At 36.0% G+C, this 13,411-nt stretch overlaps 1 protein-coding gene and 2 long non-coding RNA genes across 17 annotated transcripts in view, besides 2 other annotated features; 2 read left to right on the top strand and 1 right to left on the bottom strand.

Annotated features, from left to right (window-relative positions):
* Positions 1–1,241, top strand: part of LOC105372064 (uncharacterized) — a 40,781-nt gene extending 39,540 nt beyond the window's left edge. For 2 of the 3 annotated variants that reach the window (XR_001753412.2, XR_001753413.2), the window contains one exon: positions 71–1,241. This is a non-coding gene — a long non-coding RNA (uncharacterized LOC105372064). The remainder of the gene's footprint in view (positions 1–70) is intronic. The other variant, XR_935377.3, reaches the window with a different exon arrangement.
* The window catches only part of GALNT1 (polypeptide N-acetylgalactosaminyltransferase 1), a 130,913-nt gene that overhangs the window by 20,518 nt on the left and 96,984 nt on the right, over positions 1–13,411 (bottom strand). For all 13 annotated transcript variants that reach the window (XM_047437466.1, NM_001384441.1, NM_001384439.1 and 10 more), the window contains 4 exons: positions 7,719–7,926; positions 4,131–4,301; positions 2,027–2,144; positions 125–305 (listed from right to left, as the gene is read on the bottom strand). In XM_047437466.1, the coding sequence (XP_047293422.1) occupies positions 125–305; positions 2,027–2,144; positions 4,131–4,301; positions 7,719–7,926 (678 nt within the window). The remainder of the gene's footprint in view (positions 1–124; positions 306–2,026; positions 2,145–4,130; positions 4,302–7,718; positions 7,927–13,411) is intronic.
* Positions 2,341–2,390: an enhancer, noted in NCBI's record as "active region_13231". NCBI's record gives its function as "activates an Ori minimal core promoter by ATAC-STARR-seq in GM12878 lymphoblastoid cells {active_cell/tissue: GM12878}" and the evidence as "EXISTENCE:reporter gene assay evidence [ECO:0000049][PMID:35858748]".
* Positions 2,411–2,460: an enhancer, noted in NCBI's record as "active region_13230". NCBI's record gives its function as "activates an Ori minimal core promoter by ATAC-STARR-seq in GM12878 lymphoblastoid cells {active_cell/tissue: GM12878}" and the evidence as "EXISTENCE:reporter gene assay evidence [ECO:0000049][PMID:35858748]".
* Positions 4,386–5,250, top strand: LOC124904285 (uncharacterized). Its single transcript, XR_007066342.1, has 2 exons — positions 4,386–4,637; positions 4,946–5,250. It is a non-coding gene; the product is annotated as an uncharacterized LOC124904285 (long non-coding RNA).

Here is a 13,411-nt window from a genome sequence, read left to right as displayed (position 1 = left end):
AATGACCTTATGAGGCAGGTGTTCACCTCTGCTCAAAGCTTCACTTCTAACCTTCTTACTTCTCCTCCAGGATCAGGGTCAACAAAGGTACAGCCTTGTATTTCTAATGCAAAACAACGCTAACCTGGAGAAATTATATAGAAGAAATTCTTGAATTCATCCATCCACACTTCTGCAAGTCGTCTGTTATTTTTATTGATAATCTGCCCTGTGCCTCCTGGAAACGTGTAAGGTGTAGCTTTCCGAAACACATGTCCAACATGTGAGCATGTAACAATTTCCAAAGTTCCTCCACACTGCCAAATCTGAAAACAGCAGAGATGACCATGTAACATGTAGCTGAGTAATCAGGAAATGTTCACCTTAGTTTTCCCATAGTATTTTTCTTTTCAATTAAATAGGGGTTTGGCTTTTGTTTAAACTTAAATGGAACATATTGTAGTTACTGGTAAAAAGCTTCCAAAGTACCTCCATACTACCAAATCTGAAAATAACAGCAAAGACCATATATGACATTGATAGTTTTTAAAAAAGTATTGACATCTATTGGGTTCCACAGTTGGAATTTCGCAAAATCAGGGGCACATGATGGGCTCCGGCTGTATGGTTAGGTTACAAAGCCAGTGCTTCCTCAAGAGAAACATTTCTCTAATTTGGGTTCTGATCAAACCAAAAGTTGAAGATTAAAATAAAGAAAACATAGGTTAAAGGCTAAATACAGAAAAGATATGGGATCTAGAGCAGTATTTTTCTAACTGCAGGCCATTATACCTAAGAGAATCATAAATTCAAATTGATGAATTGCAACCTGTACTTGTTAACAAGGACATACTGTTTCATAAAATGTTTAAATTTTATGTTTTGTGTGTGCAGAATGTATAATGTATTTATTAATGTGGCTCATGGTTAAAAACAACCACCAAACAAAACCTGACCATGGAGTAACCAGCCAGATGCTCATCTGTTCACCCCTCTCCAAACCTGCGTCACGGCTTGTACATGAAACAGAACCTAGGAATCTCAACTAGATCCATTGTAAGTTCTTCAGTGAGACAGTAAAAGCATGTTTTGTTGTCTTTGTTAGAACAATAAAAACAAAAAAAGGGGCAGAAGAAAGATGATCAAGTATGGGCTTACATCCTTAATTTAATGAAATCCTTCTGTTTCTTTCAAAATACATTCCCCCCACCAAGTTAAAAATCTCATAACTCTTTATAATTAAAATAACATTTTGGAAAGTTCTGATTTTGTTAAATATTCAGTGTTCCTACCTTCAAGTTTTCCCAGGATTATAAGTGTTAGAGCTGGATAGGATCTCCAAGGTGATATTGAGTCCAACCCTCTCTTTGACAAGAAGGCAAAGCGATTCACTGGGAACAAAGTGAGCTCGCTGGTTCAGATTACAGTACACGTCAGTGTGATTTCCACTATAATAAGCTATGTGTCTAAAGTTGGTTATTTGCAAAAATATGCAATGCCATTTAAACGATATGTTGATTCTAGTGAACATGAAATGCAAAGACTTTATATGTAGACTGGGTTAAATTAATTTAGAGTCATTTTAGAATTCTTTCGCATTTTTATTGAAAAATATAAAGCTGGTAAAGTGACTAGGTTTTATATAAAAAAAATTTTCACACTAAAATAAAAAGCATATTACAAAATGTGAAATTTATGTTTAAATGTGAAATTTATGTTTTTGAGAGTAAAGCAGCAAAGTAGCATATCCAAACTATATATTAGCTTTTAGAGCTTAAATTACTTCCTTGAAAATAATAAAAATTAAAAACAACTAGGGAATCTTGTGTAAGTTTTATAGCTGAACTTCAAAGGTAACTAAATTATTTGCTTCAATAGTTTATAATGAACCCTTACTATCAGTCCTTTTTATGGACTGAAGGCTCTGAAGTTACATTAAACTTGTATTAAATTCAATTTTTATTTTTTATGTAGAGATACATGAATAATCAATGCACATCTATACTTGAAGTTAAATAAAAGATTAAATTTTTTTAAGGGAACTTACCCTAAAGGAAATTTCTAGGTTTTCTCCTCCCCAAATATCCATTCCAGCATCATATGTTCCAATTTCCTGAAAGTAATCTCTGTCTATTGAAAAAAGGCCTCCTGCCATGGTAGGTGTCCTGAAATTCAATAATGCTATACCATTAGCAATTTAAAATTTACAATCAATCAGTTTTTGTTTTTAAAAGCTGTTTCATAACTATTTATAACTACTGAGTAAGTACTTATTCTCACACTCTTCATAAACTTTCATACGCCCCAGGGGCTTTCTGTGTTTTATGCTGTGTTATTTGGTCTTCACACATGACCTGCACCATGGTCATGCTGACTGCTAGACTTGCTGTGTCATGCTTCTGCCCAGACATCCCTCTCTGTCACAGTCCTAAGAGTACTTTCTATCTTTCTTGGCCCTCAGGTCCTAACTGAGTTTAGATCTCAAACTCCTTAAATTAAAGCTGTTCCTCACAATCCTCTCCATCTGACTGTGCACCCACTCCACAGATCCTAGCAACTTCAAGGCAGTTGACTATATTAACCAAGTAGATTGAGGTTAGAGTTACCATGCCATGTTCTAAAGGGTGGCAAATAGTATAAATACATAAGATAAACTGGATGGAAACAGTGAGGTCTTTTCCTAATACCCACTAGAAATCTTTAAGGAGAGGAGACAAAATATAGAATAAAATCAATATGTTCCTTCCTGACTGTGTGGTATATTTTCTGCAAAAGAGGAGTCTAATTCATCAAAATAGGGCTCAGGTATGCAAAGGGAGTGGGAACATGTGAAATTAAGCAGAGAAATTATTAAGAAATGAAGGAAGATTTAAATAAATGAATATCAGCCCATTTGATTTTTATAAAGAACAAGTATGGAGAAAAAGTAAACTCCAACCAGGAGAAAAAAATAAGTTACAGGGACCAAAGATACCACGAAGATTATATTTTAAGATGAACCCTAAAATGTACTCATTGCCTTTCCAGAGGAAACAGTTGTTTCCAAAAAAGGTTTGGACTTATTTTGATTTTAGAAGAAAAAAAGAATGAGAAAAGGATTTAAAAGAAACAGCCAAAATTCAGAATTATCATTTAATACAGGGTTTTCTTGACCTGAGTTTTTTGTGTGCTAAATCTTCTGCATGTACATGTGCATTTTTCTCCATTAGAGAAGACCCATAGCTTTCACCAGATTTTCAAAAAATTTTGTCATTTTTGAAATGTTTAGGAACCCCTGATTTAGATAGTGAATTGCACTAACAGCTAAAGAGAAGAAAAGTCCCTTGCACTACTACTACTAAGAACTCAGGCTAAGGAAAAAAGCACACAGTCAGTGGAAAATCTCTTCAGTGTTGCCAGAACTGAACTTGAATTCAAGGGAAGGCAGACGCAGGAGGCCCAAAAACAGAAAAGCTGAAGCCTGGTTCTGAAGGAACTCTTAATACAGAAGTAGCAGGTCGGTACAATGGGGCTAAATTCTAGGATGGCTCAGAAGAGCTCAAAGGTCTCAATTTCATGTTCTAAAAAGAGCATGAAGATTTTTATTCCATCCTGAAAAAAAAATCTATATATGACCAAGTAGAGAAAAAAAATCAGAGAATAAATGGATTAATGAATTTTTTTATATTTTGTGTCAATTCTAGCTATTTTTATGTTTTACACAAGCTTTTCTAACTTTACCAGTCAATAACTGTCATCCAGATGGTACAAGTCTGAATTTAAAATTGTACATTTTAATGCAAGGACCCAGTTTTAGGTAGTATCTTCACATACTGACACAATTAATTAAGCTAAGTATTATTATCCTTAATAACTGAATTAAAGTACAGATCTGACGCATTTGCAAAATGTTCATAAAGGAATGAAAAAACACGCATGTCATCATTTCTCATGTGCACTAGATTTATAGAATAAGCAAAAATTTCTAATTTTATTAGAGGAGAAATCCTTCTTTAAAACACTCACATATGTGAAAGATGGCTGTTAACTACCATAAGGTATACGAATGCTTCACGTTTCTCAAAATACACTTATCCATTTGATATGATTCCCAAAGCTCCACAACCTTCTGCCAATAACACTTTAGGCAAAATGTCTGACAAATTAATTACCTGACAGGAAGAGTCCGATCACCTTTCCTTCTGTCCATTTCTCTTTGGGGAACAGGATACCAGCGAAAATTGAGCTTCCAGTTGAACCCACCATAGGTCATATCAGAGCCTGCCATGTACTCAAAAGTATCATCACTGATCACATCGATGATGGGACACACCACTGTTCTCCTGATGTCATAAAAGCAAGTTAAGAAATCTTTCAAAACATTCCTGTTTAATGCCAACTACAGAACAATTGTATAGTAAGTGTTTTTATTTTTTATTTTTTCCCTTGAAACAGGGTATCACTACTCTGTCACCACCCAGGCTGGAATGCAGTAGTGCAATCAGGGGCCACTGCAGCCTCGACCTCCTCAAGTGATCTTCCCACCTCAGCTTCCTGAGTAGCTGGGACCACGGCTGGGATCACATAACACCACACTCAACTAATTAAAAAAATTTTTTTTTTGTTTTTTATATTTAAGACTTTAATCTTCAAGGGACTGATTTTAACTATGATATACAGTAAGTATCCAACTTCATTTATTTCTTCTATGGATAACCAGTTGTTCCACCACTATTTATGTAATGGTCCCTTTTTCTTCTGCTGTAACTATGAGTGACTGCTCTGTCATAAATCAAGATTACATACAAAAATGAGCTGGTTTCTAGACCCTACCCTGTTTCACTAGTCTATTTGTGAATTCCTGCATCAATATACCACTGCCATAATTAACACAGCTTTAAAATAAGTCTTGACGCCTAGTAAGGCAAGCCCCCTTAGATCTGATTCTTCTTCAGAAGCATCCCAACTATTTTTTTTCTTTTTACAGTTCCGTATCAATGCTAGAATCGGCCTGTACAGTCTCTCAAAGAAAATTCTGTGGAGATTTCAATTGGAAATGCACTGAATTTATATATGAATTTGGGTAGAATTGATACTCTTATGATATTGACTTTCCTATCCATTTCTCTCTCAAGATTTTTTCGTGAATTTCAGTAAATCTTTTGATAAACATATTCCTATGTGTAGTCTATGACTGCCATTGCTATTACGAATGGTATCTTTTCTTTTTGCATTATATTTTCTAAGTATTCCTTGTTGGTGTGAAATAAACTTTTCATTCTTTTGTTTGGAGATGGAGTCTCACTCCTGTTGCCCAGGCTAGAGGGCAATGGTGCACTCTTGGCTCATTGCAGCCTTGACTTCCTGAGTTCAAGCGATCCTCCCGACTCAGCCTCCCAAGTAGTTGGGACTATAGGCATGCACCACCACGACTGCCTAATTTTTTGTATTTTTAGTAGAGCTGGGGTTTCGCCATGTTGGCCAGACTGGTCTCGAACTCCTGGGTTCAAGTGATCTGCCCACCTCGGTCTCCCAAAGAGCTGGGATTACAGGCGTGAGCCACTGCTCTAGCCTGAACTTTTCTATAGTAATCTCGTGTTTGGCAACATTGCTAAATTCTTATTGTTTCTATTATTTTATGTATAGATTCGTTTTCTTCACAAACACATACACAATTGACAACAATGCTTTTCCTTTTTCCAATAAATAAATGTTCTTTATTTACTGTAGTACTGCAAAACCTAAGAAAGACTTCTAATAATACTAACTGGTGATTGAGGGCATTAACATCTTCTTCCACATCTTTTTAAAAAATGCTTCCAACATTTCTCCATTAACATGATTTCTGCTTGCAAAGGCTTTTTTTTTTTTTTTAAGCCATCCTTTCTTGGATTAGTAAACTTCCACTGTATAATAGTTTGCTAAGTATTTTCTAACAATAAATTCATGTTAAATTTCAGTGAACCCTTTTTCATTATCTATGGGAGTGATCAGAGGTGTTTAATAAGTTTGTAATCACAGTTTTAAAAATACATTAATGGGATGTATTAAACGAATTAGTTTTTGTAATATTACGCTAAACCAAGCAGTCATGATATCATGATATGTTTTTTACACGCATACGTGCACGTGTGTGTGTGTATATTGCTGGTTTAGTTTGCTGGTATTGTGAGATTTTTGTACTAGCATTCATGAACAGATTTGCACTGTAATTTTCCTTGTAGTACTTTTCTGGTTTTCATATCACAGTTATACCAGCCTCATAAAAAGAGTTTGGTTCGTTTCCTCTTTTTCTATATTGTTTACAAATTCTTAGGGGAGATTTGTTTCCCCTCTGCCACTGCATACCAAGGTTGAGACAGGCAAGTTTTCTCTGATGTGGTGGGATTAATTTTTCATTCTTGCTTTATACTAAGATACAGATTTCAAGAGCCCAGCTTTATACAGGTGTTTGCTATTAACCTTCTCACCTGAGGCAGGACCTAGGTTTTTGTCTCCTATCCTTCCATCTTATTTGTCTCTCAAGGCAGAAGCTTAGTGACCCCAAAGTTCAGCAGAAACCCTACCAGCGAAAGCTGGCTTTAGTGTTTGGACTGCACATTTGCTCTCACTTCTTTTCGAGATTTGCAAATTTCTTCCTTTTGTGCCAACTCAATGATGCATTTAAAATTTGTTTTGTCTTTTATCCAGCTTTTTCAGTTGGAAAAGTTATTCAGAATATCGAATCCACCATGCAGCCCAAACTGGAAGTCACTGTGGTTGCTATTTCAGCTGACTCCCTTCCATACTTCTGTCATCACCTCACCTTGCTTTCTCTCTATGGGTTGTGTGTTATCTTCAGGCGAGCAAATATTCCCTAAAACGTCATCTATTATTTAAAGAAAATAATTTACAGATATCCTATTCTTTTGATTCTTCAGGGCAATGTTCTCTTTTCTAAAGCTGCTCTACTTTCCCATTGATTGGCCCAATGCTGAGTTTTCCTATTTATTCATCTTTGAAAGGGAAAAAATATAGATCCAGCATTTGCTATCAAACAGAATAGATGCTGTGGCTTTAGCTCCCACCGTGTTCCACTTGACTAGTAAAAGTTCACTCCACTAAAATCTAAACATGGACAGTCTCTACCTCAAATTACAATGACAAGCAGAAATTCAACCAACATAGGTCTAGCAGACTGAAGTCAGGTTCTCTCCTGATGCACAAGAACTAAGCCAGAAATAGGGAGTTCTTTGAAAAATGTGTAACATGAAAAACTATAACCACAGGTGTTCATTACACCACTGTTCTTCCTGTATTATCTAAGATTATGGTGCTTTCCATACAAAATTAAGCATTTCAGGACACAATGTGCTTCTCTCCATTCTCTTCTACTTCTTGCTGCACTACAAGCTGAGAGGATCTGCCTGCTCCAGCATTAGCTTTAGAGTGCAAGGACAAGTGAAGGGTTTTATGCTGTCTTCCCTGAGTTCACCATCTATCTGTTCTGCTCCAGCTTGGTGAACACAGCATATAGTATACATTCCAATGACATGCTTCCTAATCACTCCTCATTAGTACAACAGTTTGCAAACATTCCTGCCAGGCTTCAGAATGTGGTCTTCTGGATATTTCCTTTAGAGTCCTCTTCACGGATATTTTAAAGCAAACTTGGGAGGAAATTACTTTTATATTTATTTAAAAAATATAGAATTTGGCAACTCACCATATAGTTTAGGACAAATGTACTAAAAGCAAACTTACAGACACCAGAAAATTACCTGTCATGTTTGATCCTGGCCAAGAGAGGCTCCAGCCATCCCACTGTACACTCACAATGGGCATCCAGGAAGGTGATCACTTGGCCTTTAGACACAGCAGCTCCTTTTAATCTAGCTCTGATCAATCCAGAACGTTGTTCCATTCGAATTACATGAACTGGTACTTTTAGTTTTTTCACATAACTCTCTAAAGGCCTTTTCAAAAAGTCTGGAAAATGAACAAAAGAAAACATGCAAACCAGTGTGGCCTGGCACTATTCAGATGAAAGTAATTTTGATTTGGAAAATTTATTCAACATACCCTTACTGAACACTCTCAGTGAGGCTCCCTGACTCATAAACCCATTCTGCTAAAGGAAGCCTTTATATTCCCCAAGAGAATGGACTACAGCTGCCTCTATTTTATTATATGCAGAATTAGGAGAATGCCTTTGTGCTCAGACTTAACCAAGGATAGGAATGCTCCTATGTTTCGCTAAGTAACTCTGTTAGACTCAATTCTTTCTCTAATCATGCTTAAGGATCAGCAATACAAAGAAAGCATTAAATCCAGACCTCAACAGAGAGAAGACACAGAATATGTAATAGCTGTAGAGTTCAGAAAATTGTGAAATTTCCTCAGAAGCACAAACAAATTGTCTTGTTGATTACCATGGTCTTTGACTATACTTTTTTTTTTTTTTTTTTTTTAATCAGGGGGCAGAAAGTGGGGTCACACTTGGAAAAGAAATGCTGGACTGTTAACTGCAAGGCCAAATAGAGATCCTTAAACTGACAATTAGGTGTAAGAAAAAAAGTTTAAAAAGGAAAGGGCAATTGAAGAAGAAAAGAGAAAAAGTGGGCAAAAGGGGAAAGGGAGAGTATGTGGGTGTATGAAATCAATAGCTATCCTGGAGAGTTCAGATAAGAGGTTATGCTCCTCAGGACACAGGCAAGCATATAGGATAAGATAAACCTTACCTCCAAAGTTCACAACTGACTTTAAAAAGCAGAAAAGGTGCAACTTCCTCAAAGCAAAGAGAAAACATTTTTCCGATCAGGTTGGTTTACAGAATTTATGCTAGAGAACTCTGCTATTGGTGGTAATATGGCCAAATGCCTTTCCAACTAGTCACCATACAATAAGTATGAGGATAATCTCTCTAGGGAAGAAAATATTTGAGATGGAACTACTGGAACCCCTAGAGAGATTATCCTCATATCTATTAATTAAATACTAAAAGTAGAGATCCAAAAGGCTTCCTACATAGTGAGGTGGAAAAGACAAATGGGAGTAAAACAATTCTTGCCTATTTGACTCAACAAGACAAAATGACTCAATAATGAAATAATCAGGGATATAAAAAGCTGTAAAAGAGAAAGGCCTATGTGTCCCACTACACCAAAACACTGATCTTTCCCATTTCTGCTAATATATTTTCTAATATTTGAGCTAAAAAGTTATCTGAAAGATATCACTGTGATTTTATGAACCAAGTCTTAGGGTCAGAAGGATCTAAATTGATTCTGAGTAAAAAGGTAAGGGTAGTGCCAATCCCAGAGAAGAGCAACATTTTGTAGTAACTGTTAACATTTTGTGTCTGTTTAGCATAATGCTAACATATGTAATGCTAGTCTCATTATATATTTTATCTCATTTAATGCTCACAATGACCCTATGAAGTTATTATGCATAATTTAGAAATGAAAATCTAAGGCTCAGCATATTACATGAATTTGATTAAGGTGATACAGCTTAAGGGATGGATCCAAGATTCAAACCCAGGTCTGCCTGACTTTAAAGCCCATCTTTTTATCTACAACAAGAGAATCCTAGAAGGGAACTCTATAGAGAGAACAATTCAGGTCTGTGGAAGCACCTGATCAAGCACAAATTTAAAATACTTTGTATCCAGAATTTGATAGAATTTCATGCAGTAGGGTATAAGATATATTTTAGTACCTTAGATCAATCAAGACTGGATGTGTCATAAACAATGCGTCTCCCAACAAGTTTTTCCAAAAATATTAGTTTAAAACGTTTCTTCAGAACTAAAGCAATCTAATCCCCAAGTCCCATATGTCTTTGAAAGCTATACTGTCTTGTTTATGAACAAAATTAAAAAAAAAAATGCATGATTCTGTGGTCGGGTAACTCACAAAATTTGCTCTTCCACAAATTTTCTTGGCATCTTTGTTTGACATCTTTGTTGCTTTCACACAATTACATTAGGATATAGGTGTCTTCTTTTCAGTCGATACAGAATTATGGACTCAGGGATGGGTGGGGGATTAGGAATTATCCAAGTCTCATTTTACAAAAATGAAGCCATGAGTTAAGAGATTATAGTTAGAAGCTACTATTACATCTAAAAACAAGGGAGAATCTTCTTAGGACACCTTTATAACTATTGGCCTATAAATGGATCCCTATGCATTTCTCAGAGTGTGAGGTTGTCAGAGAGTGTGAACATCAGGAAAAAATTTCACTATTCACATCAATGTCTGAGAAATATTAGCCAAAACTCTAAGGAGTAGTAGAGAAGAATAAAGGGAAGAATAAAGAATTCAGAATCTAATAAATCTAACTCCTAACCTCTACTAAATATAAACCTCTGCTTTTTGTATAAAATGAAAAAATAATAGTCTTCTCAGATTAGAAACATTACATAAATTCTAAGTCTTAAGATAACTTTCTGAGATGAAAATTACATAACTTCTGACATAAACTAGGGATTCGTCCAAATTCTGACTTTATTACAGATCCTGTAACAGTAAAGTTGCACCAGAAGCAATCAGAAGTGAGGTACACAGCAATTAAGAGGTCAGGCTCTGGATTTATACAGGGTTTGGATACTCCTCTACCATGCTAAGCCTCATTTTCCTCATCAATAAAACAGGAATAATTATAGCACCTACTTCATACTTCTTTAATAAATAGAGTTACTCAGCAGGTTAACTTGAAATCAAGTATTCAGAGGCCATGGGCACACTATCTATGCTACACAACCCAATTAGGAAGTTTGCACAGAGAAGAAGTAAATGTGAAGATTAAATATACCAGTGTACATTATTCTTTCACCCATTCATTATATAATTCTAGACTGTTGTTATATAACAGGCACTGTGGGAACTGAAGAGATAATGGTGAGCAAATAGACCTGACAAAGTATACAGTCTACTGGGGGAAGGTATCTATTAAACAGACAAGTAATTCAAACCCTGGTTAGAGCTGCAGAGGAGTAGAGTGTTATGAGATGTTTTCAGAGGGATGTGACAGGTCTGGAGAGGTCAAGAAAGGCCTCTCTAAATACATCACATCTGAGCTGAACTCTGATGGATGATTCAATGTTAACAGTGCTGGGGAGATGGTGGAGATAAATGTTCCCTAGAGAACAATGTTCCAGGGAGAGGGAACAAAATCAGTACAATTGAAGGCCCTGAGATAGGAAGAAGGATGATATTCTTTAACAAACTGAAAGAAGAAAACTGGACAGAGGGAAGAAGTATGGGAATGGTTCAAGATGTGACTGGAGATGCCAGGTGGGGCCAGGTCATACAGGCCTTAGTGGAGGGGTTTTAAGCATGGAAGCGAAATGATCAAATTTGCATGCTTTAAAAAAGCTCACTCTGGAGGCACCATGGTGAACAGATGGGAGGGGGTAAGAGTATGTGGGGACATTAGTTTGACTAGTTAGTCTATTTCCATATCCAGGTGAGAAATGATGGTGCCTTAGATGTGTCTCATGAATAGGAAAAAAAGCAGATGTAAAGAGTTACATAAAAGCAAACAGCTTGCTCTGGTTTCTGGGTCTAACAATTACGACTTAAACAATGGAGCCAAAGAAAAATACATTAGATGATTCTCAACCTGGAAAGCAAGACTGCAAATTATAACCACAAAAACAAAGATCTACTGTCTCCCAGATACCGGAAATGGTAACCCGGATATTTGAGGCTTCCAAGGCAGGAAGATAAAGGAGAATCAGACCCCTGAGCAGGGACTCTGGAGCGGCACTCCAGGACCCTGCCTAGAGACTAAGCCTCAGGTGGAGCAGTGAGGTAGACATCTGCTCACACCAGTTTCCTCTCACAGATGTACACAGATTGGGGTGTTGGGTGAGGGCTGCATGAGGGAAAGGAAAGAGAGAACTGCTATAGGTGAGTTTCTCTGTCACTTGTTGTGGGACCCTGCACCTTTTAAATTAGGCCATATTCTACAAAAACTTATTATTCTACACAGCCTTCTTGGGCATTCACAGAACGAGAGAGAAAAACAAAGGAGGAAATGAAAAAATAATTCATTTTATCTCAGGTTAAGTATCTCTTCTGGAAGAATATATTTAATCTAGCAAATATTGACACGTAAGTAAACCAAGCACAAGTCATTTGCAGGATAAATGTTTGTATATATTCCTCCTTATATTAACTTAGGTTAATTTTCTTACAGAGGGATTAAGTCCTAGCAAATAGATTATCCACATAAGGTTTATACTTCTGTTGTCAACAATTATTTCTTTACGTGTGGTATTCTTAACTGCTCTCATTCCTTCTGACATGTAATTATATAATGTATTATACTATTTAAATGTCTTGTGTGATTATAAAGTATCTCTTTAATTTGATTAAAAAGGTAAGATATAAATTACTTTAAAAGGTAGGATTTATCCTTTTCTTCATGTGCAACTGTATAAACTGGCAAAGCAATAAGATTTAAATTGTTTTTATTGTATTAATTACTCCAAATAATTGATATTTGATGTGAATAAACTTAATTTCGGTTAAATGCATGTATTCAGTGTGGACACAGGAAGGAGAAAGTATGATACTTAACTAAATCATAGCAGATGCAATGGGAGAATAGGCAAGAAAGTTGAAGATACTAGCAAAAGAGGTTAAAATGGTAGATCATTTAAGGCTGATGAAGGAAGAAAAGAAGTAGGAAATTATTTTCTGTAGCTCTAAATTTTTCTCATGCGAACACAGGAACATTGGTGGAACACATGACACCAATGATTCCTAAACAGATGAGCTATGAATAAGAAAATTAGGAAATACTGGGTATCTAAGTTAAGCAAGTTTCTTTACTGATGGACTAAGCAGAGCCTTTTCTATATGGTACTCTGTAGTGTGAAATCTCTAGTAAGGATTCAGAATAAATAATATTGACCAAGCCACCATTAATTAATATGTCCTTTCCCAAAGAGTATTTCATGAAATAGTTTGGGAGATTTTAGCCTTGTGAAAAATTCTGAGACTCCTAGAAGGACGTGGGCAAGAGTCTGTAGAGATTTACTATGAGAGTCATATTACATCCCACCTTTTCATCCTTCCTAATCCTTTTATGCACCTAGCTATAGATCATTCCTGAAACTTAGAAATGGAGAAAATAGGGAAACCTAAGAAAAATCTGGAGAACAAAGGTTCACCCAGCTAAAGCTCCATTTTGCTGTCAGAGATATTTCCTACTAAACATGGAACTACATTTCTCCATTCATGGATGTAAGCAGAATCCAGTCTCTCTCTACTGACTCAGTCCTGCAGCTTCCCACAGAGAAAATCCTAACAAAATGATGAGAGTTTTTTCACTGTCCTGCATAATAGTTTATGTTATAGAGCATTATTTCTTTTTGAAACAAGATTAAGATGCAACACACAAATTAAATTAATTACTAATTAAAGTAATATTTTAAGTTTCACAAGGGTGTACTTTT

Source organism: Homo sapiens, chromosome 18 (genome assembly GCF_000001405.40).
Source record: "Homo sapiens chromosome 18, GRCh38.p14 Primary Assembly".
Classification (NCBI taxonomy): Eukaryota; Metazoa; Chordata; class Mammalia; order Primates; family Hominidae; genus Homo; species Homo sapiens.
This window is presented reverse-complemented; position numbering and strand designations above follow the sequence as displayed.